This window comes from Homo sapiens, chromosome 16 (genome assembly GCF_000001405.40).
Source record: "Homo sapiens chromosome 16, GRCh38.p14 Primary Assembly".
In the NCBI taxonomy this organism is placed as follows: Eukaryota; Metazoa; Chordata; class Mammalia; order Primates; family Hominidae; genus Homo; species Homo sapiens.
In genome coordinates, this window is record NC_000016.10 from 3022423 (window position 1) to 3046255 (window position 23833).

The 23833-nt window shown below is 57.3% G+C and overlaps 3 protein-coding genes and 1 long non-coding RNA gene across 20 annotated transcripts, besides 12 other annotated features; 2 read left to right on the top strand and 2 right to left on the bottom strand.

Annotated features, from left to right (window-relative positions):
* HCFC1R1 (host cell factor C1 regulator 1) lies at window positions 198-1864 on the bottom strand. 11 transcript variants are annotated; one of them, NM_001288665.1, is made up of 5 exons: window positions 1790-1864; window positions 1425-1710; window positions 1052-1108; window positions 811-939; window positions 198-576 (listed from the first exon to the last, which is right to left on the bottom strand). In NM_001288665.1, the coding sequence occupies exons 2-5, from the start codon at window positions 1517-1519 to the stop codon at window positions 441-443; spliced, it is 417 nt and encodes a 138-aa protein (NP_001275594.1). In that variant the 5' UTR covers window positions 1520-1710; window positions 1790-1864; the 3' UTR covers window positions 198-440. The 11 variants fall into 11 exon arrangements, with proteins under 11 accessions (NP_001275594.1, NP_001002018.1, NP_001294999.1 ...); NM_001002018.2 differs by having other exon boundaries at window positions 1425-1546; window positions 1759-1864; NM_001308070.1 differs by lacking the exon at window positions 1425-1710 and having other exon boundaries at window positions 1759-1864.
* Window positions 866-965: an enhancer, noted in NCBI's record as "active region_10291". NCBI's record gives its function as "activates an Ori minimal core promoter by ATAC-STARR-seq in GM12878 lymphoblastoid cells {active_cell/tissue: GM12878}" and the evidence as "EXISTENCE:reporter gene assay evidence [ECO:0000049][PMID:35858748]".
* Window positions 948-1592: an enhancer, noted in NCBI's record as "H3K27ac-H3K4me1 hESC enhancer chr16:3073371-3074015 (GRCh37/hg19 assembly coordinates)". NCBI's record gives its function as "activates a minimal SCP1, AML or CMV promoter by ChIP-STARR-seq in naive H9 embryonic stem cells {active_cell/tissue: H9 hESC(naive)}" and the evidence as "EXISTENCE:reporter gene assay evidence [ECO:0000049][PMID:30033119]".
* Window positions 1356-1555: a silencer, noted in NCBI's record as "silent region_7104". NCBI's record gives its function as "represses an Ori minimal core promoter by ATAC-STARR-seq in GM12878 lymphoblastoid cells {active_cell/tissue: GM12878}" and the evidence as "EXISTENCE:reporter gene assay evidence [ECO:0000049][PMID:35858748]".
* Window positions 1593-2236: an enhancer, noted in NCBI's record as "H3K27ac hESC enhancer chr16:3074016-3074659 (GRCh37/hg19 assembly coordinates)". NCBI's record gives its function as "activates a minimal SCP1, AML or CMV promoter by ChIP-STARR-seq in naive H9 embryonic stem cells {active_cell/tissue: H9 hESC(naive)}" and the evidence as "EXISTENCE:reporter gene assay evidence [ECO:0000049][PMID:30033119]".
* On the top strand, window positions 1613-5328 carry THOC6 (THO complex subunit 6). Of its 4 annotated transcripts, none has more exons than NM_001347704.2 (14): window positions 1613-1664; window positions 1771-1943; window positions 3286-3401; window positions 3502-3566; window positions 3641-3744; window positions 3829-3866; window positions 3943-3991; window positions 4094-4165; window positions 4257-4359; window positions 4445-4494; window positions 4589-4651; window positions 4748-4858; window positions 4944-5078; window positions 5155-5328. In NM_001347704.2, exons 2-14 carry the CDS (start codon window positions 1905-1907, stop codon window positions 5233-5235), a joined length of 1026 nt encoding a protein of 341 aa, NP_001334633.1. In that variant the 5' UTR covers window positions 1613-1664; window positions 1771-1904; the 3' UTR covers window positions 5236-5328. The 4 variants fall into 4 exon arrangements, with proteins under 4 accessions (NP_001334633.1, NP_001334632.1, NP_077315.2 ...); NM_001347703.2 differs by having other exon boundaries at window positions 3290-3401; NM_024339.5 differs by having other exon boundaries at window positions 1613-1943.
* Window positions 1626-1935: an enhancer, noted in NCBI's record as "active region_10292". NCBI's record gives its function as "activates an Ori minimal core promoter by ATAC-STARR-seq in GM12878 lymphoblastoid cells {active_cell/tissue: GM12878}" and the evidence as "EXISTENCE:reporter gene assay evidence [ECO:0000049][PMID:35858748]".
* Window positions 4517-5323: an enhancer, noted in NCBI's record as "H3K27ac-H3K4me1 hESC enhancer chr16:3076940-3077746 (GRCh37/hg19 assembly coordinates)". NCBI's record gives its function as "activates a minimal SCP1, AML or CMV promoter by ChIP-STARR-seq in primed H9 embryonic stem cells {active_cell/tissue: H9 hESC(primed)}" and the evidence as "EXISTENCE:reporter gene assay evidence [ECO:0000049][PMID:30033119]".
* Window positions 5260-14522, bottom strand: BICDL2 (BICD family like cargo adaptor 2). 4 transcript variants are annotated; one of them, XM_005255135.5, is made up of 10 exons: window positions 14472-14522; window positions 12793-13088; window positions 8513-8728; window positions 8274-8390; window positions 8027-8173; window positions 7123-7317; window positions 6858-7007; window positions 6278-6408; window positions 5926-6046; window positions 5260-5851 (listed from the first exon to the last, which is right to left on the bottom strand). In XM_005255135.5, exons 2-10 carry the CDS (start codon window positions 13072-13074, stop codon window positions 5684-5686), a joined length of 1527 nt encoding a protein of 508 aa, XP_005255192.1. In that variant the 5' UTR covers window positions 13075-13088; window positions 14472-14522; the 3' UTR covers window positions 5260-5683. The 4 variants fall into 4 exon arrangements, with proteins under 4 accessions (XP_005255192.1, NP_001356596.1, NP_001096645.1 ...); NM_001369667.1 differs by having other exon boundaries at window positions 12793-13104; NM_001103175.2 differs by lacking the exon at window positions 14472-14522 and having other exon boundaries at window positions 12793-13119.
* Window positions 5852-5911: a silencer, noted in NCBI's record as "silent region_7105". NCBI's record gives its function as "represses an Ori minimal core promoter by ATAC-STARR-seq in GM12878 lymphoblastoid cells {active_cell/tissue: GM12878}" and the evidence as "EXISTENCE:reporter gene assay evidence [ECO:0000049][PMID:35858748]".
* Window positions 6936-7740: an enhancer, noted in NCBI's record as "H3K27ac-H3K4me1 hESC enhancer chr16:3079359-3080163 (GRCh37/hg19 assembly coordinates)". NCBI's record gives its function as "activates a minimal SCP1, AML or CMV promoter by ChIP-STARR-seq in primed H9 embryonic stem cells {active_cell/tissue: H9 hESC(primed)}" and the evidence as "EXISTENCE:reporter gene assay evidence [ECO:0000049][PMID:30033119]".
* On the top strand, window positions 10059-16711 carry LOC100128770 (uncharacterized). The gene is made up of 8 exons (NR_047572.1): window positions 10059-10129; window positions 10249-10320; window positions 12476-12572; window positions 12916-14538; window positions 14857-14973; window positions 15208-15284; window positions 15413-15590; window positions 15886-16711. It is a non-coding gene; the product is annotated as an uncharacterized LOC100128770 (long non-coding RNA).
* Window positions 10584-10663: an enhancer, noted in NCBI's record as "active region_10293". NCBI's record gives its function as "activates an Ori minimal core promoter by ATAC-STARR-seq in GM12878 lymphoblastoid cells {active_cell/tissue: GM12878}" and the evidence as "EXISTENCE:reporter gene assay evidence [ECO:0000049][PMID:35858748]".
* Window positions 15232-16119: an enhancer, noted in NCBI's record as "H3K27ac-H3K4me1 hESC enhancer chr16:3087655-3088542 (GRCh37/hg19 assembly coordinates)". NCBI's record gives its function as "activates a minimal SCP1, AML or CMV promoter by ChIP-STARR-seq in naive H9 embryonic stem cells {active_cell/tissue: H9 hESC(naive)}" and the evidence as "EXISTENCE:reporter gene assay evidence [ECO:0000049][PMID:30033119]".
* Window positions 23092-23171: an enhancer, noted in NCBI's record as "active region_10294". NCBI's record gives its function as "activates an Ori minimal core promoter by ATAC-STARR-seq in GM12878 lymphoblastoid cells {active_cell/tissue: GM12878}" and the evidence as "EXISTENCE:reporter gene assay evidence [ECO:0000049][PMID:35858748]".
* Window positions 23612-23811: a silencer, noted in NCBI's record as "silent region_7106". NCBI's record gives its function as "represses an Ori minimal core promoter by ATAC-STARR-seq in GM12878 lymphoblastoid cells {active_cell/tissue: GM12878}" and the evidence as "EXISTENCE:reporter gene assay evidence [ECO:0000049][PMID:35858748]".

Consider the following 23833-nt stretch of genomic DNA (forward strand, 5'->3'; position numbering starts at 1 on the left):
GCTGGAGGGAGGGAGTGAGTCAGCCAGCCGCGGGGGCGGGGGTGAGGCTCTGACTCACACATTCTCAATGCCTGGAACTCAGCCGGCAAGGACCTGGCTGGCCCTAACAGTTTTCCAGGGAAGATCTTGAGGAGAAACCCCAGCATCCCGCGCCTCTGCCCTCTCCACCATCCCCAAAAGCCCCAGGTTCCAGACTGAAGCCTTCCTTTGCTCAGCAATCTTTATTCAGTTCTTCTTGGGGGTGGGATGCCTCCCTTCCCATGCTCCCACCCCTCCCATCCCAGAACTCCGTTGGGCTCAGTGTCCTCTGTTGAGGGAAGGTCTTGGTGCCCAGATGCCTACTCTGCAGGAGAGGGAGGAACCTTGTCCCTTTGCGGGAGTCGCTGGTCTCTTCTGTTGTGGGGAAGAAGGAAGGTGGGAGGGGCACTGTCCACCAGCACTCAGAGCTCCATTATGTCCCCAGCTGGGGTTGCAGGGTAGGGGGGACTGGGGGTGTCCCCCAGCCTCAGCAGACGGAGGGCCTCAGGGATGAGGCTGCCAGGATAGCGCCAGAGAAGCAGCTCAGAGCAAGGGCTCCTAGAAGAGGAAATGACTGTCAGGGCATGGAGCTGAGGCTGGCCTAGCTGAGCACCTCCCACCAGGTCCAGGTCCCCAGGGGCTCCTGGGTTCCCAGCACTTTCCAAAGAGCCAAGATGGGAAACAACCCAGAGGTCAGCTAGAGCTAAAAATGGCACGATGAGGCAGGGCCTGAGGTCAGCTGTGAGGACCGCCTGTGATTCTGCAGAAGGCCTGGCCAGTGGAGGAACCTACCTGAGTGGGGGCAGGGCTGGGGAGAAGGTCATGGGGGGGCTGCAGTAGGGGTGGTCATTGTGCAGGCTGAGTTGAGAGAAGTGGGTGGCCATGTTCTCCTCAGACAGAAACTGCTTGCGCAGAGGCTCCCTGGGGAGAGATGGCAGAGAGGCAGGCTGGGATACTGACACAGGAGGCAGCCTGTTGGGGACCAGAGGTGACAGAGATCTTGTTGGGAGTCCCTCCCTGCCCCCAAACTCACTGCTCCTCCTCCAGGCGCCGCTTGGTGCTCATGGGCACAGCTCCTCGGAGAGGGGAGCTGGGAAAAAAAGAGAGCCTGGTGCACCCCACCCTCTTGGCCCCTTCCCAAGGATCTGCCCGCCTAAGCCTGCAGCATCAGCCAGGAGCCCCAAGCCCATTCCTGTCTCAGCTGGTGCCGGTCCCCGCTCTCCTGGACCATCCAGCAGGGTACCTCGGAAGTCTCGACCCTCAGCCGCAGCCCCAGTCCCATCTCAGCTCACGCCTAAGCCCCGCCGATTCGCCCCACCCCGTATTCATCCTGCAGACCAGTCCTGAGCACCCAGCCAAAGCTCCTGCGGCCCTTGGTCAGGCCCACCCTGGTCCCCTACACGCACCTGGCGTCCAGGCCCCAAGTCACCCCCAAGGCGGCCCGCGGGAGGCGCTGGGCCCCTCCCTGGGGGCCTCGCTGCAAGGGCTGCTGCAGGATCATTGGGTTTTGGGGTCCTGCGGGTGGGATCTGGGCGACAGGGGAGGAGTCTCTGAGGGCGTGGCCAAGAGAGGATGGGCGTGGCTTTAGGCGGGCACAGCCGCGAGGTTCTGCGCGGGCGCGGAAGACGGGCGGCGCGTGGCGGAAGGCAGGCTTGCTCCTCGGGGTGGGGGAGGGTATCCGGCTTAAGGGGGCTGCGGTGGACACCACTTCTTAATGTCGGGGGTCTTCGCGGCGCTCACCTCGGCTCCTAGGGTTCGGGACGGTACGCACCAGCCACCTTCGCGCCGAAGGCGGTAGGGCGCCACGGAGAGGAACCGCTCTAGGCACGTAAGGCCTCGTGAGGTTGCGTCGCGCGCGGAGCACTCTGGGACTTGTAGTTCTGGAGATGGAGCGAGCTGTGCCGCTCGCGGTGCCTCTGGGTCAGGTGAGACGGACGTGGTGCGCGTTGCCTTCTGGGGTTTGTAGTTCACGCATGGCTGGGACGGGGCGGGCAGGGAATCGTGCCCTGAGCCCTGTTTTGCCTGGGCTATTTGTGGGACTCAGACTCTGACCAGGGGGGCGGGATAGTAACCCAGAAGTGCTTCAGGGGCTTAACGCAAGTCAGAGAGTAGGAATTATAAATCAGTACGTTTTTCTATGTTGGGGTAGTAGAGGTACTTTTTTTTTTTTTTTAATTTTCTAGTTCTTGCAAAGCACTTTTTTTTTTTTTTTGAGACAGAGTCTCACTCTGTCACCTAGGCTAGAGTGCAGTGGCGCGATCTCAGCTCACTGCAACCTCCGCCTCCCAGGTTCAAGCGATTCTCCTGCCTCAGCCCTCCAAGTAGCTGGGACTATAGGCGTGTGCCACCATGCCCAGCTAATTTTCGTGTTTTTAGTAGAGACAGGGTTTCACCATGTTGACCAGGCTGGTCTCGAACTCCTGACCTCAGGTAATCTGCCTGCCTTGGCTTCTCAAAGTGCTAGGATTACAGGTGTGAGCCACCACGCCCGGCCAAATTTTTTTTTTTTTTTTTTTTTTGAGATGGAATTTCACTCTTGTTGCCCAAGCTGGAGTGCAGTGGCTCCATCTGGGTTCACCGCAACCTCCGCCTCCCAGATTCAAGCAATTCTCCTGCCTCAGCCTCCTGAGTAGCTGAGATTACAGGCATGCGCCACCACTCCCAGCTAATTTTGCATTTTTAGCAGAGACAGGGTTTCTCCATGTTGGTCAGGCTGGTCTTGAACTCCTGACCTCAGGTGGTCCACCTGCCTTGGCCTGCCAAAGTGCTGGGATTACAGGCGTGAGCCACTGCGCCCGGCCCCACATTTTTAAATTTTTTTTGAGACAGAGTCTCACTATGTTGCCCAGGCTGCTCTCAAACTCCTGGCCTCCCAGAGCGCTGGATTACAGGCATGAACCACCACACCCGGCTTAAGCACTGAGTGACAGCCCCATGTAAAGCTCTTGTCTATACACTAGCTCATCTAATTGTGATGGAATCTTCTGTGAGCTCCATTTGTCAGTTGAGGAAGCTGGCAGGAGAGGCCTGGGTGCTTGCTCAGAGGTCCCTGAGGCATCACCTCAACTCTCCCCTTCTTCAGTGTCTTCTTGGAGCCACCCATGGGACTGCATGGGCAGGTGCTGGCTTGGGGCGGGGCCGCCTCAAAAGAAGGCTGAGAAGTCAGGACAGTGGGAGGCCTGGCAGGTTTTGGGGGAAGCAGGGAGGAATCTGTGGATGGGAGGTTTCATACGTCCCAGGCAGGCCTCATCCAGTCTTTCCCTGCAGACAGAGGTGTTCCAGGCCTTGCAGCGGCTCCATATGACCATCTTCTCCCAGAGCGTCTCACCATGTGGGAAGTTTCTGGCGGCTGGCAACAATTACGGGCAGATTGCCATCTTCAGGTACCCTCTGCCGCTGTCCACCCATTAGCCCTGGCACTTGGCCCTCATGGGACGGATGCCCCCGTTTCTGACTCCTGGGTCCCCTCCGCTGTCCCTGCAGCTTGTCCTCTGCTTTGAGCTCAGAAGCCAAAGAGGAAAGTAAGAAGCCGGTGGTGACTTTCCAAGGTGGGTATACCTGTGGAGTCTGGCTTCAGGACTTTGGGTGGGATTGGCTCACTCAGTTCTGCATTTCTCTTTAGCCCATGATGGGCCCGTCTATAGCATGGTTTCCACCGATCGACATCTGCTTAGTGCTGGGGATGGGGAGGTGAAGGCCTGGCTTTGGGCGGAGATGCTCAAGAAGGTAAGGAGTCGAGCTTGGGAAAGGGCTGGGGTGCCTGGACCCAGAGAGAGCCTTTGAGGTCACCTGGTATTTTCTCTTTTGAAGGGCTGTAAGGAGCTGTGGCGTCGTCAGCCTCCATACAGGTGAGCAGGGCCACGTGGATAGAGGGTGCATCAGGGTGAAGCCACTTCCTCACTGACCTTGCCTTTCCTTCCCCAGGACCAGCCTGGAAGTGCCTGAGATCAACGCTTTGCTGCTGGTCCCCAAGGTCTGAGCCCCATGTGACTGTTCTTGGTCCAAACTTTGATCCTTCACCCTCTGCCTATCCTGATTTGACATTGACTTTCTGCCTCATCCTGCTCCTCCACAGGAGAATTCCCTCATCCTGGCTGGGGGAGACTGTCAGTTGCACACTATGGACCTTGAAACTGGGACTTTCACGGTGAGCAGGGTCCTGGAGCCCTAGAGCAGGTCTAGGTCAGGGAGAGGCACTCTTCCTAGGTCTCCTCCTGACATCGCCCCTCTACATGCAGAGGGTCCTCCGGGGCCACACAGACTACATCCACTGCCTGGCACTGCGGGAAAGGAGCCCAGAGGTGCTGTCAGGTGGCGAGGATGGAGCTGTTCGACTTTGGGGTAAGCAGGTGGCTGGTTGGAGGGCAAGATGGCAGTGAAGGAGGCTGAGGCAAGTGGGGCACCACTCACAGTTCTTTCCCCGCAGACCTGCGCACAGCCAAGGAGGTCCAGACGATCGAGGTCTATAAGCACGAGGTGAGGGTGTGACCGTGGCCATTGTCCTCTTCTCCCCCAACTCCTTGAATTCTCCAGGTCTTCACCTCTTTCCCTCCTCCCCTCCCCATCCCAGGAGTGCTCGAGGCCCCACAATGGGCGCTGGATTGGATGTTTGGCAACTGATTCCGACTGGATGGTGAGCTGGGCAGACTGTGGGATGGGATGGCAGCTCCGGGCCCTGTCAGCTGTGGGCCTGTGGTTCACAGCTGGGGACTCCCACCTTTCTGTCCAGGTCTGTGGAGGGGGCCCAGCCCTCACCCTCTGGCACCTCCGATCCTCCACACCCACCACCATCTTCCCCATCCGGGCGCCACAGAAGCACGTCACCTTCTACCAGGACCTGGTGAGGCCCTGTGTCTCACTTCTGCCACCCCCACTGACTCTTCCCTTCAGTCCTGACCCCTGAGCACCTTCCCTGTCCTCTGCAGATTCTGTCAGCTGGCCAGGGCCGCTGCGTCAACCAGTGGCAGCTGAGCGGGGAGCTGAAGGCCCAGGTGCCTGGCTCCTCCCCAGGGCTGCTCAGCCTCAGCCTCAACCAGCAGCCTGCCGCGCCTGAGTGCAAGGTGGGTCCGGCAGGGGCCGCGGAGCGGCTGGGAGGCAGGGGTGTGGGCAGGCCAGTCATGCCCCTCTTTCCTCCAGGTCCTGACAGCTGCAGGCAACAGCTGCCGGGTGGATGTCTTCACCAACCTGGGTTACCGAGCCTTCTCCCTGTCCTTCTGATCTCTGACGACACCCCCAGCCAGCTCAGGGTTTTAGAGTGTTTTTCATTTTCTTTTTTTTTTTTTTTTTACAATAAAGTTTCAGGCTTTTTTACCATGCTCTTTCTTTCTATGAATGGGGGCCAAATCGGTGGAGTGATTTATATATTACTCTGTCCGATCTTGATACATAAATACCCAGCCCCATCCCTGCCCTAGAAAAGATAGACGTATATTAATTCGGAAAATAGCTCTGTTCACCTGCCCCTGCCACCCACCTGGAGCTCCTGCCCCACAAAGCTGGCCCCTGCTCCGGATGAGCCCCTGCTCCCGATGAGCCCTTGCCCAGCATCCTGGGGCGGGGAGGGCATCAGCTTCTTTTGGAAGACAATCTGGGCCCTGTCGCTCCATTGGCCTGAAGAGGAAAGTGAGCCCCTAAGTGGGCAAGGGCAGCCCTCTGGGCCCAGCCGTCAGGTCCTTCGGAAGAGGTTACTGAGAAAGCCACCGGCGGGCCCGGGGCCCAGGCGCAGCGAGAAGCGGGGCGCGGCACGGCGCGGGGTCGACGACGACGCGGAGGCGCTCAGCTCCTTCTGGCGCTGTGAGCGCAGCTGCTGCCCGATCACCACCTGCATGTCGTCCTGCGGGAGGCCGTGGTCGGCTCAGCGCCGGTCCCGCCCCTTGCCCCGCCCCGCACACGGGCCCCGCCCCTCACCTGCCAGGCCTCCAGCTCCTGCGTGAGCGCCACCTTCTGGCGGATGGCGCGCAGCAGCTCCCGAGACAGGGAGTCTCGCTCCAGCGAGACGCGGTTGAGCTGCAGGGACAGCTCCAGGGCCCTAGGCGGGCAGGAGCAGAAGACGCGTTTGAGGGCGCTAGGGCCTCAGGGAGCCGGGGTGGCGGGGGACTTCTGTACCCGGGCGGGAGGAGGGCTGCAAACACCTAGATCAAGGAGGTCAGGGGGCCCCTGGGTGGGAGTGGGGATCATTATAACCCGTATCAGAAGAGGAATCAGGAGCCCAGGAGGGCCCAGAGGGCGCTGGGGCGGTGGTCAATGGCTTGAGGCTTACTTGTTCACGGCCTCGTCCCGGTCTGAGAGGGCACTGTGCAGGGCCTCCCCAGGGTCTTCCTGCGCCCGCAGCTCCTTCTGCCTCTGCAGCTCTTCCCGCAGGGACTGCAGCTCTGCCTGCTGCAGCGAGATCTGTGAGCAGAGGAGGGGGGCCGTGCGGCAGATGGGCCAATGGGCCTCCCTGCTTCTCCCAGCAGCCCCGACTCTGGCTCTCCCCACCCCTCCTCTGCCTGCGACAGACACCCCAGGCAGCCGTGGCCCTGTGCTGGAGACTCCGATATGAGCCCTCTGAGCCCCTCAGGCTGGTGCGGGGTGGGGTGGAGCAGGGTTAGTTGGAGTGGTATAACCCTGCAGGAGGGATGCAGGGAGAAGCATTGGGAGTGGAACTAAGGGCAGAGGTGCTGTCCAGGAAGTCTTCCTGGAGGAGGTGGCATACAGGCTGGCTCTTGAAGTAAGTTTGTTGAGATGAAAGCCGATCCAGGTATAGGGAGCTTAGTGGGCAAAGGCTGGGAGGTGGACATGGGAGACAGAAACTGACAGCTGGAGGGGCCGTGCATCCAGCACCGTGCCCTCTGCCCCACCTCATCTTGCAGCTTGGCCACTTCCACCTCCTTCTCCTCCAGTATCTCCGCTGGACTGAGGGATGTTCGCTTCTTGGGGGGCTCTAAGATCTCTTCCGGGGGTGAAGGCTGGGGGCTGGACGCCTTTCGGGTCTTTGGGGACCGGGTGGTCTGTGGGCCAAAGAAATGGGTTAGTGGTGTGGAGTTTATTGGGGAAAGGAGGAAAGGCGGAGCCTGCAACCCTCTCGATGGCACAGGTAAGGGGGCTGGGGCCCCACGAGCTCACCGGGGTGTCTCCGGGTGCGTCGGCGCCCTGGCCCTGGTCGCCGTCGTCGAGGCTGTGGGCCAGTTCTGACTGCAACGAGGCAGCCGACACGTCGGCGTCCTGGAGGCGTGACTCCTCCTCCAGCTCGGAGACGCGCCGCTGCAGCCTCCGCAGCGCACTCAGCGCCTCCCCAGCCTCTGACCGTGCGCGTTCCAGCTGTGGACGGTCCCGCAGACGGAAGCGCGGGCGGTCAGCGGGACGCACGCAACGCCGACATCCCGCGGCAGGTCCACACGGGGGTGCCGCGGAGAGCCCCGCACCCCAGCGGCCCAGGCTGTTCCCGTTCCTGGATCGCTGGGCGCCTTGGGCCGTGCACCTCCCTCAGCGGATATATACAGTTTCCTCGCCTATAGAGCAGGGCCGCACCTCGAAGAGCCCCATCTCCTCCCCTGCCCAGTCTACCTCCTCATTCAGTAATTGTTTCATGCAGCATTTATTGGTGCTACTGAGGCTGCTTGTCCCACAGTAGTAAGTAAGAAGGGGCACCGGGATGCGAAGGAAGGCAAGCTGACCCCAAAGTGCAGACTCCTTTGATCTCTAACATCAGACACCGCATCCTCTTTTCATTTCTTTTTCTCCGTCTCCATTGCGCAGCCGTGGTCTAGGGGCTGTCATTCCTGGCCTGAGCTCTGGCACCAGCCCCCTCCCTGCTCTTCCAGCTGCCAGGCTCTGATGCACTCTAAGAGCATGCCTCACCTGCTCAACAGCCTTCCGTGGCTCCCATTTGCCCATGGGCTAATGCCCATGCTCTTGTGGGCCAGCCTCTGGGCCTCCCAGTGATCCAGCTCCGGCCTCATCTCCCAGAAAGCCCTGAAGCCATTGCTAAGGGTCCAGGCAGTTGTAGTCCCCCAGCCCTGCAGGTCACCTCCAGGCTGTGCTCCCGCCGCTCCCGCCTCAGCAGCAGCAACTCCTCGTGGGTGGTCTGCAGTCTGCCCTCACCCTTCTCCACCTCCTCACGCAGGCCTCGGATCTGGGCCTCCAGGTCCTGCCGGCGGCTCTGCAGCATCTGGTTCTGGGGAAAGGCCTGAGAGCTGGGGACAGGGGCAGCCCCTCCCAGCCCTCAGCCCGGCTTTTTTGGCTCAGATAATCCCCCAGCCCCAGCTGACACTCACTTCCCCCTGCAGACTCTCCAGCCGCGTCCTCAGCTCTGCTCCAGCCAGTGCCTGAGCCTGGCACTGTCCCCGAAGGGCGTCCAGTTCCCTCTGAAGTTCCTGCTCAGTCTGGGAGGCCTGGGGAGGTGGAAAGAGGGACAGAGGAGCCTCAGCACCAAGCCCAATGCACCTACTCCCCGCTGGGGACCCAGGCATCCTCCCCAACCTTGTCCAGGGCCCTGGGGTCAGGGCCATCCCACCTGAGCCAGCTGCTGGCTGAGCCGGAGGTTCTGCTCGCTGAGCTCGCTGAGGGCCCGTGCCCGTTCTCGCCCACTGTCCTGCTGCTCTGAGCGCTGCTCCCCAAGCTGGGCCCGCAGGGCCTCCACGTCCCCCTCCAGCTCCACGGCCCGGGCCTCCCACTCGGCTCCTCGGGCTGCCAGGCCTCGCCGGAGCTCATGGTTCTCCTGCTGGAGCCGCTGTGGGGGCCAGGGCAGAGGGACAGAGGCAGAGAGGCACCGATGAGACTGGGCAGGCACAGAGAGATGGCGATGGAGGGACAGACACCTAGGGAGAAAGCCTAAGGGGGCCTTGTGTCCAAGACAGACACAAAAGCAAGGGAGAGTGAGGGAGGAAGCGTGAGCAAGACCCAGAGATTTAGAGGGAAGGTTCCGAGCAGACAGGACGCGTGGGCCCGGGGCAAGGGTTGGGGTGGGGGGATCTCTGATGACCACTCACCTCCAGCTGCTGCCGGGGCTTCTGGACCTGAGGTCGCAAGCGCCGTTTTTGGCGCCTGAGTCTGGCAGAGTTCAAGCCCCGGCCCATGGCAGCACACACCTGCTGTGTCCCAGGGGCTCTGGAGGCCTGGACTCTGCCCAGCCCCCTCCCCAGCTCCTCCTAGCCAGTTCCCTCTAATTAACCCTGGTCAGCCCCGCCCTGGCCCAAAAACCTGTCTGACCAGCGGGGGAATGCCCTGGCACACCCAGATGCCCAGCGTGGGGAGGCAGATGAATCGGGGGTTAACCTCTGGCCCACTCTCTCTAGGCCCTCAAAGCGGGATGGGCCTGGATGAAGGTGACAATTGCCACAGCTGCTGCAGCGACTCGCAGGTACCCTGCATTAGGGCTCTATCTGCATTGCTTCATTTCATCCACTAGAGGGAGAATCACTAACGTCCTGGGTTTACAGATGGAACAAGCTCAAGAGTTGCTAAGTGCCTTGCCTAAGGACACACAGTCATTTATTGTTGTTTTTATTTTTTATTTATTTATTTATTTTGAGACAGATCTTTACTCTTTGGCCCAGGCTAGAGCGCAGTGGCACTATCTCAGCTCACGGCAATGTCCGCCTCCCAAGTTCAAGAGATTCTCCTGCCTCAGCCTCCCAAGTAGCTAAGATTACTGGCGTGCGCCACCCTGCCCGGCAAATTTTTTTGTTTTCTTAGGAGAGACGGGGTTTCACCATGTTGGCCAGGCTGGTCCTGAACTCCTGGCCTTAAGCGATCCACCCTCCTCGGCCTCCCAAAGTGCTGGGATTACAGGCATGAGACACCGTGCCCAGCCGACACACAATAACTTCACAAAGCAGGGATGCCAACTCAGGCAGCAGAACTCTTAACCGAATACTGCAGAGGCAACACAGCTTCAGGATTAAGCTGTCAGGTTCAAGGTCAGATTGTCCTGGCTGATGCTCGGCTCTGCTGATGCCTTGTGGCCTGGACACAATATCTCTAAGTCTATCCACCCACACTGCTATCAATCCTCCCACATTTCCTGAGCTCCACTTGTTCTGGGGTCTGCTGTCAGTGGCACGTGAGACCACCAAGTTCACTGCTTCAAGCAGCTTAGAGTCCAGAGGGCATGGACACATGCCGGAGCCAGGTAGTTTCAGGGAGACAGTAAGGGCTGTAAAGAGACCCGGGAAATGATAGAGAGTAAGGAGTGGGGTGGGGGTGGAGGGTCCTTCAAGGAGGACGTCATGTTTGAGTCGACTTCTGCAGGACAAGAAGAGCCACCAGAAAGAAGGCTAGGCATTAAGGAACAGCAAGTGCAAAGTTCCTGAGGGAACAAGCGTGAGTTCTTGGAGGAAATGAAAAGAGCCCTCATTGTCGGGGAGAGGGTGGTTCGGCTGCCCTTCTTGGAGGAGGGGAGAAAGGGGTGGTGCTGCTGTGATGAGGTCGGGGAGGAGCCCAGTTCTCTGGGACTTTTAGGCCCTGGGGAAGGGTTTTGGTTTCATTCTAAGTGTGAGGGGGAGATTCTGGTTGAGGAGTGAAATGATCTGATTTGCAGTTTTTGAAAGTCCTGGGCTGTCCCTTAGAGAACGGGCTCCAGGGGTCAAAGGTGGAAGCTGGGGGCTGGGCACGGTGGCTCACACCTATAATCCCAGCACTTTGGGAGGCTGAGGCAAGTGGATCGCCTGAGGTCAGGAGTTCAAGACCAGCCTGGCCAATATGGTGAAACCCCGTCTCTACTAAAAATACAAAAATTAGCTGGGCTTGGTGGCGCACACCTGGAATCCCAGCTACTTGGGAGGCTGAGGTGAGAGAATCACTTGAACCCAGGAAGCAGAGGCTGCAGTGAGCCAAGATCGCACCACTGCACTCCAGCCTGGGCGACAGAGCGAGACTCCATGTAAATAACAACAATAATAAAAGAGTGGAAGCTGGGGACTCAGGAGAAGGTGGCTGGAGTGTCTGTGGCAGAAGGGATGGAGGCTGTGATCTGTGATCAGCTTGGAGGCTGCAGAGCCGACCAGTGGGTGGTTGGAGTTTAGAAGAATCAAAAGGGCTTGCGGATATTGGGGGGAATTTGTTCACTCAAGAAAGGTTGGCTGAGCGCATTGACTCACACCTGTAATCCCAACACTTTGGGAGGCTGAGGCAGGCAGTTTGGTTGAGCCCAGGAGTTTGAGACCAGCCTGGGCAACATGGTGAGACCTCATCTCTACAAAAAATGCAAAAATTAGCCAGGTATGGTGGTGCATGTGTGCCTGTAGTCCCAACTACTCAGGAGGCTGAGATGGGAGGATTGCTTGAGCTCGTGAAGTTGAGGTTCCAGTGAGCTATGATTGCACCACTGCACACTATAGCCTGGGTGACAGAGGGAGACCCTGTCTCCAAAAAAAGAAAAAAAAAATAGAGAAAGAGTCCAAGGAGGTGCACAGGCTCTGGTCCTCAAGGTTGGGAAGGCGAGGATGGGGACAGCAGGTGATGGGGGCATGGAATCGAGTGCGTGGAATCAAGTGCCACTTGTGTTGAGATGCCCACTAGGTGGCCTGGTGGAGAGGGTTAGCTACCCAGGTCAGGCTCAGGGCAGTGGTTGGGGCCGACGCAGCAGATAAAGGAGGGTGTTCAGGAGACCAGATGTGAGCCCCAGAGCAAGAAGTGGGCCAAAAATAGAACCTGGGCAGAGGGAACTGTTCCTACCTCATTGGGCTGGGCAAGAATCAATGGAGAGTCATGGAAAGCACTCAGCCCAGTGCCAGGCAAGGAGTGGACACCCATGACTGTCGCCTGGTGTTCCGCTATACTGCTGAGGAGCTGGACCCAAGATCCAGAGAGGGCCAGCAGCTGACCCAGGGTCACACAGCTGGACGAGGGTCTGAACCCAGTTTGTTTTTGTTTTTTGAGATGCAGTCTCGCTCTGTCACCCAGGCTGGAGTGCAGTGGCATGATCTTGGCTCATAGCAACCTCTGCCTCCCAGGTTCAAGTGATTCTCCTGCCTCAGTCTCCCAATTAGCTGGGACTACAGGCACACCCCATCATGCCTGGCTAATTTTTTTTGTATTTTTAGTAGAGACGGGGTTTCACCATGTTGGCCAGGCTGGTCTTGAAGTCCCGACCTCAAGTGATCCAGCCACCTCAGCCTCCCAAAGTGCTGGGATTACAGGTGTGAGCCACCATGCCTGGCCTGAATCCAGGTCTTAATCCTCAGAGTTCATGCCTTTTTTCCTTTCCTTTCCTTTCCTTTTTTTCTTTTCTTTCTCTCTCCTTCCTTCCTTCCTTCCTTCCTTCCTTCCTTCCCCTTCCTTCCTTCCTTCCTTTTTTTTTTTTCAGGATCTCACTCTGTTGCTCAAGCTGTAGTGCAGTGGATCATAGAATCATAGCTTACTGCAGCCTCAAACTCTAAAATTCCTGGGCTCAATTGATCCCCCTGCCTCGGCCTCCTGAGTAGCTGAGACTACAGGTGCCACCACCACATCCAGCTAATTTTCTTATTTTTTGTAGAGACAGAGTCTCACTACGTTGCCCAGGCTGTTCTCCAACACTGGGCTAGTGATCTTCCTGCCTTGGCCTCCCAAAGTGCTGGGATTACAGGTGTGAGGTACTGTGCCCGGCACCCAGAGTTCATGTTCTTTGCCACTGGGCAACACTGCCAGGGGGACTGGGCCCAGCTCTGACCTGTTCCAAAGTGCCCCCCTCGCCCGGCTGTCCTCCCCAGCTCCTCTCTCCTTCCCTTGCCTGACTCCCTTCCCTTGTCCTCTCCAGGCCCACCCGTCCTCCCCTGCCCACCCACCCACCCACCCCGTCCAGTGCTAGCTCACTTCCTCACGCTCCAAGTGCTGGGCGCTCAGCGTCTCCAGCTGCCGCCGCAGCTCTTCATTTCGCTCCAGAAGCATCTTGCCGAGCTCCGCGGCCAACAGCAGGTCTTTCTCCTTCTGCTGCAGCTGCAAGGCTAGGTCCTCGGGCTCCTCAGGCCCTGGGCCCCCTCCCAGGAATGAGTCCCGCCGCTCCAGCACAAAGGGGAAGAAGCCCTCGTCGCCGCTGGGAGAGGCGCCCCCTGAGAGCGGCCCGGACGGGAAGCTGGGCCCATCTGGAGAGCTCATGTCACCTGCAGCATCTGCGGGGACAGGTGGCTGCGGGACACTCTACTCTGCAGCCTGACAGGGGCTCACCCTCCGCCCAGCACCTGGCCCTCCAGGAATTCTCCACCTGCTGCCAGCCTGCCCGGTCCTGCAGCCAGGGCTTCCTGGGCCACAAAGGGTTAATGACCTGTGTTTTGGCTACCCAGTTCCGTTAATGTCCCTGGGGTAAACTGAGGCAGGAAGCAGAAGGAAATGACCTGCCCAGCCTTTGGCCTCTGCCAGACAATCTCTGTCCCCAGGAAAGCTCATTCCAGTGCTCCAGGGCCACAGGCCACCTCTGCTCCCTGTCCCCTCTCTTCCCAGAACCCAGCAGTTTGGCTTGTAGCCCCTCGCCATCTGAGACAGTTCCCAGAACCCAGGTTCTCAGGGACTCAGCAGTTGGAGTTGGGCCCAGCCTCTTCTCTCAGGAATGCAGGACCCTAAGGCTTGGGAACTGAGGTATCTTCGCCCCCAGGAATCCAGCTCCTTCCCCTGCCAGAAGCCCAGATCCCAGCCCCTGACCTCCCGGGTCTCTCGCCCTCATTCTCCTGCTACCTCCTGAGCAGGTGCTTTGACTCCACCCTCCAGACTCAGAGGTCCCCACCTCCAATGTCCCCCACCAAGGATTCCCACCCCAGTCCCCATTTTCCACGGGACTCAGGCATTCATGCCCCCACCCCTCCGGACTCAGGAGCCCTGACCCTCAGCCCCCCAGTTTCCCAGGGCCCTGGCGTGGGGCCCAGGACAGGGCGAGGTAACAGGTTGTGCCGGCCGCCCGGCCGCAGCGCGGCTCGGAGTTTCTGTTTACTTCCCGGTCCGCCCCTGGGGACGGGAGCCCTGGGCTCCCCTAGGGCGGCTCAGGGGCTGGGGTTCAGGGGCTCGGGTCAGAGGGCCCGACACAACAGCTTTACCAGCCCCAGCCCTCCGGGGGCTCACCACCCACTAGGCACACACACCCGTGCTCTCCCTCCTCCTCTCGCCCGGTGTCCATGTGCAGCCCTGCTCGCAGGACGTGAGTGTCACGGTGGTCCCAGCCCAGCCGCCCCCAGGCCGCTCCCGGGGACCTCCCTGACTTGGCCCTCGCGGGCCCCGCTCCCCCGCCCCCCTCCACGCGAGAGACAGGGACCTGGAGACCGCTCCCCCTCCCCTTCCGCACCTAGCTGCCCAGGTGTTGGGGCCTCCAGCCCCAGGCGTCGGAAGCCCAGAGAAGCGGCTGGGCTCACCCCCGACGGCTGAGTTCCTGCCGGCGCCCCCGGTTCCCCGGCGATCCCGGTTCCCCTGCCCCCGCCCCGGCTCCCCCACCTTCTCCGCCGACGCGGCCGGACCAGGCCCTCCCCAGGCTCGAGGGGCCCGGCCCTCGGCGTCCCCCAGGCTCTCACCCGAAGCCGCCGGGCTCCCTCCGAGGTCCCCGCGGTCTCCGGTCCCCTCTTCCGGAGGCGGCTCCAGGTGTGCGGCCAACACAGGTGAAGGGGCGGGGCCGCGGGAGGGGCCGGGGCGCTCCCTGGCTGCCTGAATGGCCGGGCGGGGTCGAGGGAGAGTCGCTTCCACCTGGGTGGGGGGCACTGGCCCAACCTGCTGTGGTTGCAAATGGCCCGGCCAGTTAACTGAGCATCTACTGTTTGCAGATCCTACATTGAGGTAGCCTCCGCTCCTTTCCCGTCACGACTGCCTTGCCCTGTGGGGCAGGAAATTATTAGCAATGACAACAACACCGAATCTGACATCTTAAGCATTCTGCTAAGTAAACTCTTTTTTATTTTTTAGAGATGGGATTTTGCTCTGTCACGCAGGCTGGAGTGCAGTGGCACCATCACTGCAGTCTCGTCCTCCCAGGCTCAAGCGATCCTCCCACCACAGCCTCCCCCGTAGCTGGGACTGCAGGTACATGCCACCATGCCCAGCTAATTTTTGTACTTTTTGTAGGGGTGGGGTTTCACCATGTTGCCCAGGCTGGTCTCAAACTTCTGGATTCAAGCAATCCTCCCGCTTCGGCCTCCCAAAGTGCTGGGATTACAGGCATGAGCCTCTGCTTCTGGTCAAGTAAACTCTTTTATAGGCATAACTTGTTGACCTTTTTTTTTTTTTTTGAGATGGAATTTTACTCTTCTTGCCCAGGCTGGAGTACAGTGGTGCCATCTCAGCTCACAGCAGCCTCCGCTCCCGGGTTCAAGTGATTCTCCTGTCTCAGCCTGGTGAGTAGCGGGTACTATAGGCATGCACCACTACATCCAGCTAATTTTGTATTTTTAGTAGAAATGGTGTTTCAATGTTTTGGCCAGGCTGGTCTCAAACTCCTGACCTCGTGATCCGCCCACCTCAGCCTCCCAAAGTGCTGGGATTACAGAGTGAGCCACCTCCCCGGCTCAACTTGTTGACTTTCATGATGACCTGATGACGAGGAACTGCTGTCATCCCCATCTTACAGATGAGGAAGCTGAGGCTCGGAGGCGGAGGGGGGTCCTCCACCTTGTTTGGGGTCCCCTGGTCAGAACTGGAAGGTGAACAGCACAAGTGTGGCTTTAGGGTCATGCTCTTTACTGATTCCCATGCCGCAGACAAGGACACTGTAGCCCAGGCAGTGAGAGTGACTTGCCCAGAGCCATGCCCGAGTCCGTGTGGCTCCACACCTGGGGTTCTCAGTTCCTCAGTTATGCAGAGCTGGGGACCGTGCTCTTGTCTGGGACAGGGGCTTTGGTGTGGAGATGGGAAGGTCCGGGGCTGGGGACCCAGGGTGGCTTGGGCAGCAGTGATGCCCCATCCATGGCCTTGTGTCTTGTCACGATTTATCTCCAGACTCCAGGGCTCCCTGGGCCTCGTGACAGGGGCTCCTGGCCTGGAGAGCAGGACAGATGGAAGGCTGGGAGCAGTGGCGTGCTGGTAAGCGTTTAACAACAGGCTCCCCGGCTAAAACAATAGCCCTCGCTCGTTGCATTTGCCAATATCCATGATGCAATACCTGCTCCTCGGCTGACTTCCAGCTACTCACCTGGCGTCACGGAGTGCAGAGGTAGAAGGGGCTGTGCACATCAGCTCTGGCTGGCTGGTGTCAGCTGGGTCCGTGCACCTCTGGCTGGGGATCAGGACTCCTGAGTCTTGGGGGACTGGGGGCTACTTACTTGGGTTCTAGAAAAATAGGAGGAGGGTGGGGGCTGGGACTCCTGGCTTGTGGGAAAAGGGGAGCAAGGACTCCTTGGAGGGGTGACTTAGGAACTGGGACTCCTGGGTCCTGGGGCTGGGACAGGGTTTTCTGCCAGCAGAGAGTAGGGGAGCCAGAGATTTGTCTTACAGCCACATTGCCCAGCAAGCCTGACACTTTCTCCCACTGCACCTGTGGGAGCAGCCTGGTAGCCACTGGAGGACTGAAGACATCCCAGCCTCCCCTGGGTGCTGCTATGTGACCCTCTGGAAATAGAAGCTCAGTGTCCCCTCCAAATGCCAGTCACCCTGGGCCCCACTCACACCCACACGTAGCACATCTTGAGCGCCTCCTGCCAGGCTGAGCTCATCCCAGGATGAAGTGATTACAGCCCTACTCCCAGAAGGTTCACAGTCCACCTGGGCCATGGGAGGGAGCGTAGACCTATAAACCAGAAATGAACCAATAAAACAGTACAGCAAAGTGCTTGGCCCATGGGTGCTGGCATCACATAGCTTCGGTCCAGGATCCAGTTGGCCACATACCAGATGTGGGTGCCTATGCCCTTCAGCTGATTAACCTCTGCGGCCCTCAGTTTCCCCATCTGTAAAATGGGGATGATAGTTCCTAGCTTATAGGGATGTGAGGATTTTTTTTGAGATGGAGTCTCGCTCTCTCCCCCAGGCTGGAGTGCGGTGGTGAGATCTCGCCTCACCGCAACCTCTGCCTCCCGGTTTCAAGCGATTCTCCTGCCTCAGCCTCCTAAGTAGCTGGGATTACAGGCGTGTGCCACCACACCTGGCTAATTTTTGTATTTTTAGTAGAGACAGGGTTTCACTGTGTTGCCCAGGATGGTCTTCAACTGACCTCAGGTGATCTGCCCGCCTCAGCCTCCCAGAGTGCTGGGATTACTGGTGTGAGCCACCGTGCCTGGCCAGGTGTGAGGATTAAATGAGTGTGAAGTGCCAGCACTTAGTCCTTGCTGGTGATCTCCGCGCGGCCACCAGAGATGACTCACCTGCATGTCATACTCTATTTCATCCTCAGAGCAACCCTATGAGGTCACGCCATTCACAGGTGAGGAGCCCAGCTCAGAGAGGCTAAGTCATTTGTCTGTGGGTACATAGCAGAGCCTTCATCCCAGCTTGCCTAGCTCTCAGCCTCAATCACTCTTGGGAAATTTGTGTTGTTTTTGTTTTTTTCGGAGATAGGGTCTCACTCTGTCACCCAGGTTGAAGTACAGTGGCATGATCATAGCTTACAGCAGCCTCGAACTCTTGGGCTCAAGCGATCCTCCTGCCTCAGCCTCCTGAGTGACTGGGACAACAGGCAGATGCCATCATGCCCTGCTAACTTTTTTATTTTTTGTTTGTTTGTTTGTTTTTTTGAGACAGAGTCTCGCTGTGTCACCCAGGCTGGAGGGCAGTGGCACGATCTTGGCTCACTGCAAGCTCTGCCTCCCGGGTTCACGCCATTTTCCTGCCTCAGCCTCCCGTGTAGCTGGGACTACAGGTGCCTGCCACCACGCCCGGCCAATTTTTTGTATTTTTAGTAGAGATGGGGTTTCATCGTGTTAGGCAGGATGGTCTCGATCTCCCAACCTCATGATCTGCCCGCCTCGGCCTCCCAAAGTGCTGGGATTACAGGCGTGACCCACCACGCCCAGCCTAACTTTTTTATTTTTTGTAGAGATGCGGTCTTGCTACGTTGCCTAGGCTGGTCTCGACTTCTGGCCTCAAGCAATCCTCCTGCCTTGGCCTCCCAAAGCGCTGGGATCTGAGGCATGAGCCAGTGTGCCTGGCTTTGAATATTTGAATCTGGTCCTCAGTCTCCTCTGGACCCAGGAGTCCTGGCCTCCATCTCCCTGTTGGGTCTAAGAGTCCTGGCCACCCAGCATGCAGGGGACCTCAGCCCTCCCCTCACCCCCAGGCTCCCTGCCGATCCCAGGAGAAAAATGAGTAGGAGGGACAGAGTGACCTCAGGGAAGGCCCGGGGAGGCTGGGACATGTCTGGTTAAGAAGGAAGGGATTGGCCGGGCACGGTGGTTCATGCCTGTAATCCCAGCACTTTGGGAGGCTGAGGTGGGTGGATCACGAGGTCAGGAGCTCAAGACCAGCCTGGACAAAATGCTGAAACCCCATCTCTACTAAAAATACAAAAATTGGCTGGGCGCAGTGGCTCATGCCTGTAATCCCAGCACTTTGGGAGACCGAGGCAGGTGGATCACGAGGTCAGGAGATTGAGACCATCCTGGCTAACATGGTGAAACCCCGTCTCTACTAAAAATACAAAAAATTAGCCGTGTGTGGTGGCGGGCGCCTGTAGTCCCAGCTACTCAGGAGGCTGAGGCATGAGAATCGCTTGAACCTGGGAGACGGAGGTTGCAGTGAGCCAAGACTGCACCATTGCACTCCAGCCTGGGAGACAGGGTGAGACTCCATCTCAAAACAAAAACAAAAACAAAAGACAAAACAAAACAAAATACAAAAATTAGCCGGGCGTGGTGGCACGCGCCTGTAATCACAACTACTTGAGAAGCTGAGGCAGGAGAATCAGTTGAACCCGGGCAGCAGAGGTTGAAGTGAGCTGAGATCGCACCACTGCACTCCAACCTGGGTGACAGAGCAAGACTCCATTTCAAAAAAGAAAAAAAAGAAGGGAAGGATGATCACCCAGCCTCACCTGCTCTCCAGCCCAAACAAGCCAGCTTCCAGGGTGCTTAGTTTGGTATGCCCTCCCCGCCTTTCCATCCACCCGCTGAGCCCTGGGGGGTTCTGAGTCTTGGTTGGGAGTTGAGGAGGGGTCTCATCCCTGGGGAAGCCTTGTCAGACCTCACAATGCCGTGGGAGTCTATGCTAGGCATCCAGAGGCCAGCAGAACCCCACTCTCCTCTTGCCCTTCCCCAGAAGCAGTCTGGTAGAAATAACTTGGGTCCAGACCCAGGTGCCTCCAGGCTTTTATGACGTATGCTAAGTCCATGAACAGTAGGTAGTATTGTTTGGAGCATTTAAAACCTTTATATATAATATTTCACACTGAATTCATTGTTCTGCAACTTGTTTTTTTGATGTATGCTTATGTTTCCAAGTGTTTTCTCCCACTTATTAAAAAAAAAAAAAATCAGGGCAGGCACGGTGGCTCATGCCTGTAATCCCAGCACTTTGGGAGGCCGAGGAGGTGGGTGGATCATGGGGTCAGGAGTTCAAGACCAGCCTGGCCAAGACGGTGAAACGCCCTCTCTACTAAAAATACAAAAAATTAGCTGGGCGTGGTGGCAGATGCCTGTAATCCCAGCTACTTGGGAGGCCGAGTCAGGAGAATCGCTTGAACCTGGGAGACAGAGGTTGCAGTGTGCTGAGAATGTGCCACTGCACTCCAGCCTGGGTGACAGAACAAGAGTCTGTCTCAGAAAAAAAAAAAAAATCAGCTTTGGCTGAGCACAGTGGCTCACGCCTGTAATCCCAACACTTTGGGAGGCTGAGACGGGCAGATAACTTGAGGCCAGAAGTTTGAGACCAGCCTGGGCAACATGGCAAAACCCCGTTTCTACAAACAATACAAAAATTAGCAGGCCATAGTGCTGTGTGCCTATAGTCCCAGCTACTCACAGGGCTAAGGCAGGAGGATCACTTTAGTCCAGGAAGTGGAGGCTGCAGTGAGCTGAGATTGGGCCACTGTACTCCAGCCTGGGTGACAGAGCAAGGCCCTATCTCAAAAAAAAAAAAAAAAAAAAAAAAAATTCAGCTTTATTGAGGTAGGTATTAGCTTCCTAGGGCTGATGTATGTAACAAAACATCCACCAGCACGGGAAACAGAGCAAGACCCCATCTCTACAAACATAAAGAATAATTAGTGGCACATGCCTGCAGTCCCGGCTGCTTGGGAGGCTGAGGTGGGAGGATCCCTTGAGCCCAGGAGGTCAAGGCTGCAGTGAGCCATGATTGCATCACTGCACTCCAGCCTGGATGAGAGAGCGAGACCCTGTCTCAAACAAAGAAAGAGAACCAAAAAAACCACAAACTGGGTTTACACAACAGAAAAATTATTGTATTACAGTTCTGGAGGCCAGAAGCCTGAAGTGAGGGTTGGTTCCTTCTGGAGGCTCTGAGGGTGAATCTACTCCATGCCTCTCCCTGGGCCATGGTGACTATAGATGCTCCTTGGTGTTCTGTGTCTTGTGGCCACATCAGTCCAGTCACTGCCTCTGCTTTCACGTGACCTGCCCCTCTAGGTCTTCTTAGTCTATGACTGAAATTTCCCTCTTTTATAAAGATGCCAGCCATTGAATTTAGGGCCCACCCTAAATCTAGGATGATCTCATCTTGAGATCTTTAGCTTATGTCTGCAAAGACCCATTTTTCTTTTTTCTTTTCTTTCTTTGAGACAGAGTCTCGCTCTGTCGCCCAGGCTGGAGGGCAGTGGCACGATCTCAGCTCACAGTAACCTCTGCCTCCCGGGTTCAAGCAATTCTCCTGCCTCAGCTTCCCAAGTAGCCGGGACCACAGGTGCGAGCCACCACACCCAGCTAATTTTTGTATTTTTAGTACAGATGGGGTTTCACCATGTTTGCCAGACTGGTCTCGATCTCCTGACCTCGTGATCTGCCCGCCTCGGCCTCCCAAAGTGCTGGGATTACAGGCGTGAGCCACCGCGCCCGGCCAGCTTATGTATTTTTAAGACAGGGTCTCACTCTGTCACTTGGCTGGAATGCAGTGGTGCAGTACCAGCTCACTGCTGCCTCACTGTCCCTGGCACAGGTGATCCTCCCGCCTCAGTCTACCAAGTAGCTGGCACTATAGGTGTGCACCACCACTCCCAGCTAATTTGTGTATTTTTTGTAGAGACAGGGTCTCACTATATTGTCCAGGTTGGTTTCGAACGCCTGGGCTCAAGTGATCTGCCTGTGTTGGCCTCCCAAAGTGCTGGGATTACAGGCATGAACCACCACGCCTGGCCTAAAGCGTAGGCTTTAATTTATACTAGGTAATAAAGTGCCTGACTCCCTTTTTGATGTTTTACAGCTGACAGCTTTAAAGCCCCGTGCCTACCTCTTCTCCTTGTGCCCACATGTGGGCAAGCTGATCTGAAGGCCCTGGTGCCCTCTCCCTCACTCTATAGAGAAATTTAAATTAGGAAAGTCCTGGCTGGTTGGAAGGGACCCTCATCCCACTTTATCCCCTAACCATAATAAAAGCCCCTCCTTGAATTACTTGAACACGGGAGGTGGAGGTTGCAGTGAGCCCAGACTGTGCCACTGCACTCCAGCCTGGGCGACAGAGTGAGACTCCATTAAACACACACACACACACACACACACACACACACACACACACAAAACAACAACAACAAAAAAACCCTCCTTGCTCTCTTAAACCACTTTCAGAGCTGCCTGGGAGCCCACTCTGCTCTCCCAGAAAGCCTCATCGTTGAGTAATCAAACTCTTCTTATTCTCTTGGTGTGTTCGTGGCCTTATTGGTCTCTAATATGAACCAAATTTGGCACATAGGGTAAATCACAAAACATGTTTCTATCTGCAGAGGGTGAATTTCTTTTTATTTATTTATTTTATTTCTATATGAACAAATGCTGCCTCCCCTGCAGAGCATCCGTTTCTTTCTTTCCGTTTTTGGTAGAAATGCGGTCTCAGTATGTTGCCCAGGCTGGGTCTCCCTCAAATTCCAGGCCTCAAAGGATCCTCCTGCCTTGGCCTCCCAAAGTGCTGGGATTACAGGTGTGAGTCACCACACACCTGGCTAGAGCACGAATTTCATCTGGGTCACACCTGGCCAATACTTGGCATTGTCAGACTTTAAAATTTTGCCAATCTGATGACAAACATGGGATCTGTTATGGAGTAAATTGTGCCCTGTCAATATTCTTATGTTGACCATTACAGGAATGGTGGCTCACGCCTGTAATCCTAGCACTTTGGGAGCCTGAGGCAGGAGAAATGGTTGAGCCTAGGAGTTCAAGAAAGCCCTGAGCAACACAGGGAGGCCCCGTCTCTACCAAAAGAAAAGAAAAAGAAAAAAAAAAAAGAAAGAAAGAAAAAACATGGGCATGGTGGCTTGGGCCAGTTGTCCCAGCTACTTGACAGGCTGAGACAGGAGGATTGCTTGAGCCTAGGAGTTCCAGGCTGCGGTGAGCTATGATCATGCTACTGCTGCACTCCAGCCTGGGAGACAGAGCGAGACCCTGGCTCAAAACAAACAAACAAACAAAAAAACCAAAACCAACCAAACAAACAAAAAAAACAAACCAGAGAGAGAAGAAGAATTTGTATGTTAAAGCCCTAACCCCCAGTACCTCAGAATGTGATTATAGTTAGAGATAGAGCTGATAAAAAAGTGACTAACTTAAAATGAGGCTTTTAGGGTGGCCCCGATGATTGACTTCTTACAAGAGGTCAATGACCAGGCGCGGTGGCTCACGCCTGTAATCCCAGAACTTTGGGAGGCCGAGGCCGGCAGATCACGAGGTCAGGAGATGGAGACCATCCTGGCTAACACGGTGAAACCCCGTCTCTACTAAAATACAAAAAAATTAGCCGGGCGTGGTGGCGGGCGCCTGTAGTCCCAGCTACTCGGGAGGCTGAGGCAGGAGAATGGCGTGAACCAGGGAGGCGGAGTTTGCAGTGAGCCGAGATCGCGCCACTGCACTCCAGCCTGGGCGACAGAGCGAGACTCCGTCTCAAAAAAAGCAAAACAAAACAAAACAAAACAAAACAAAAGAGGACGATACTTCTGGGGTGTGCAAGCGCAGGGGGACGGCCGTGTGGGGAAACAGCAAGAGGACGCCCATCTGCCTGCCCAGGAGGAGGCATCCGGAGAAACTAGCCCCTCAGGCACCTTGATCTTGGCCTTCCAGTTTCCAGAACTGTGAGAACGTAAACTTCTGGTTGAGCCTCCCAGTCCTTGGTGTTTTGTTCTGGCGGCCCCAGCGAGCGGGCGCGGGATCGCAGTGTTTGCCTTTGCATCTCCAGCTCCGCATCCTGCTCGCTGTTTATTTTGTGAGCAGCTCCGGCGGCTGCCCCTGAACTGCTCCGAGACTGAGCAGTTTAACTCACACTCGCCCACCCGCCCTCCCCAGGAAGCCTCCCGCCCGCTTCCTCCAGTTCCTTCCCCACCTGTCCGGCCTCCTAGCCCGGTGCTCTCGGCGCGGGAGGAGGCGGCTCGCAGACCCCCAGGTCTCGGCTTCCCGGATCTCCCCCGCCTACTCACTCCCCGGTCCCCGGCTCCCGGCACTGGCAGGCGCTGTGGCTTCCGCGCAGTGGCTGCAGCATTTAAATGTCCGGCACTTAGGGAGAGGGGTGCAGTCGCGGAGCAGCCGCTGCTCCCGGCATCTAGAGGGGCCCAAACCCCCGCGTGCCCAGGCCGAGCCCCGCGCGCAGCCCACGTGGGCTGAGGGACTGAGTATTGGCCCTCGGGCAGCTGCAACCGCGCACAGCTGGAGCTGGCGGGGCGGAGGGCGGGCCGGGACCCCGCGGGGAAGGAGGCTTCCTTCCCAGCCTCCTGCTGCCCGGAAATCCCCCCGGCTCTCAGACAACCTGCCCCACGGGGTCCTGGGGGGAAGGAGAGGGGCGGGATACAGGGATGGGGAGGGCT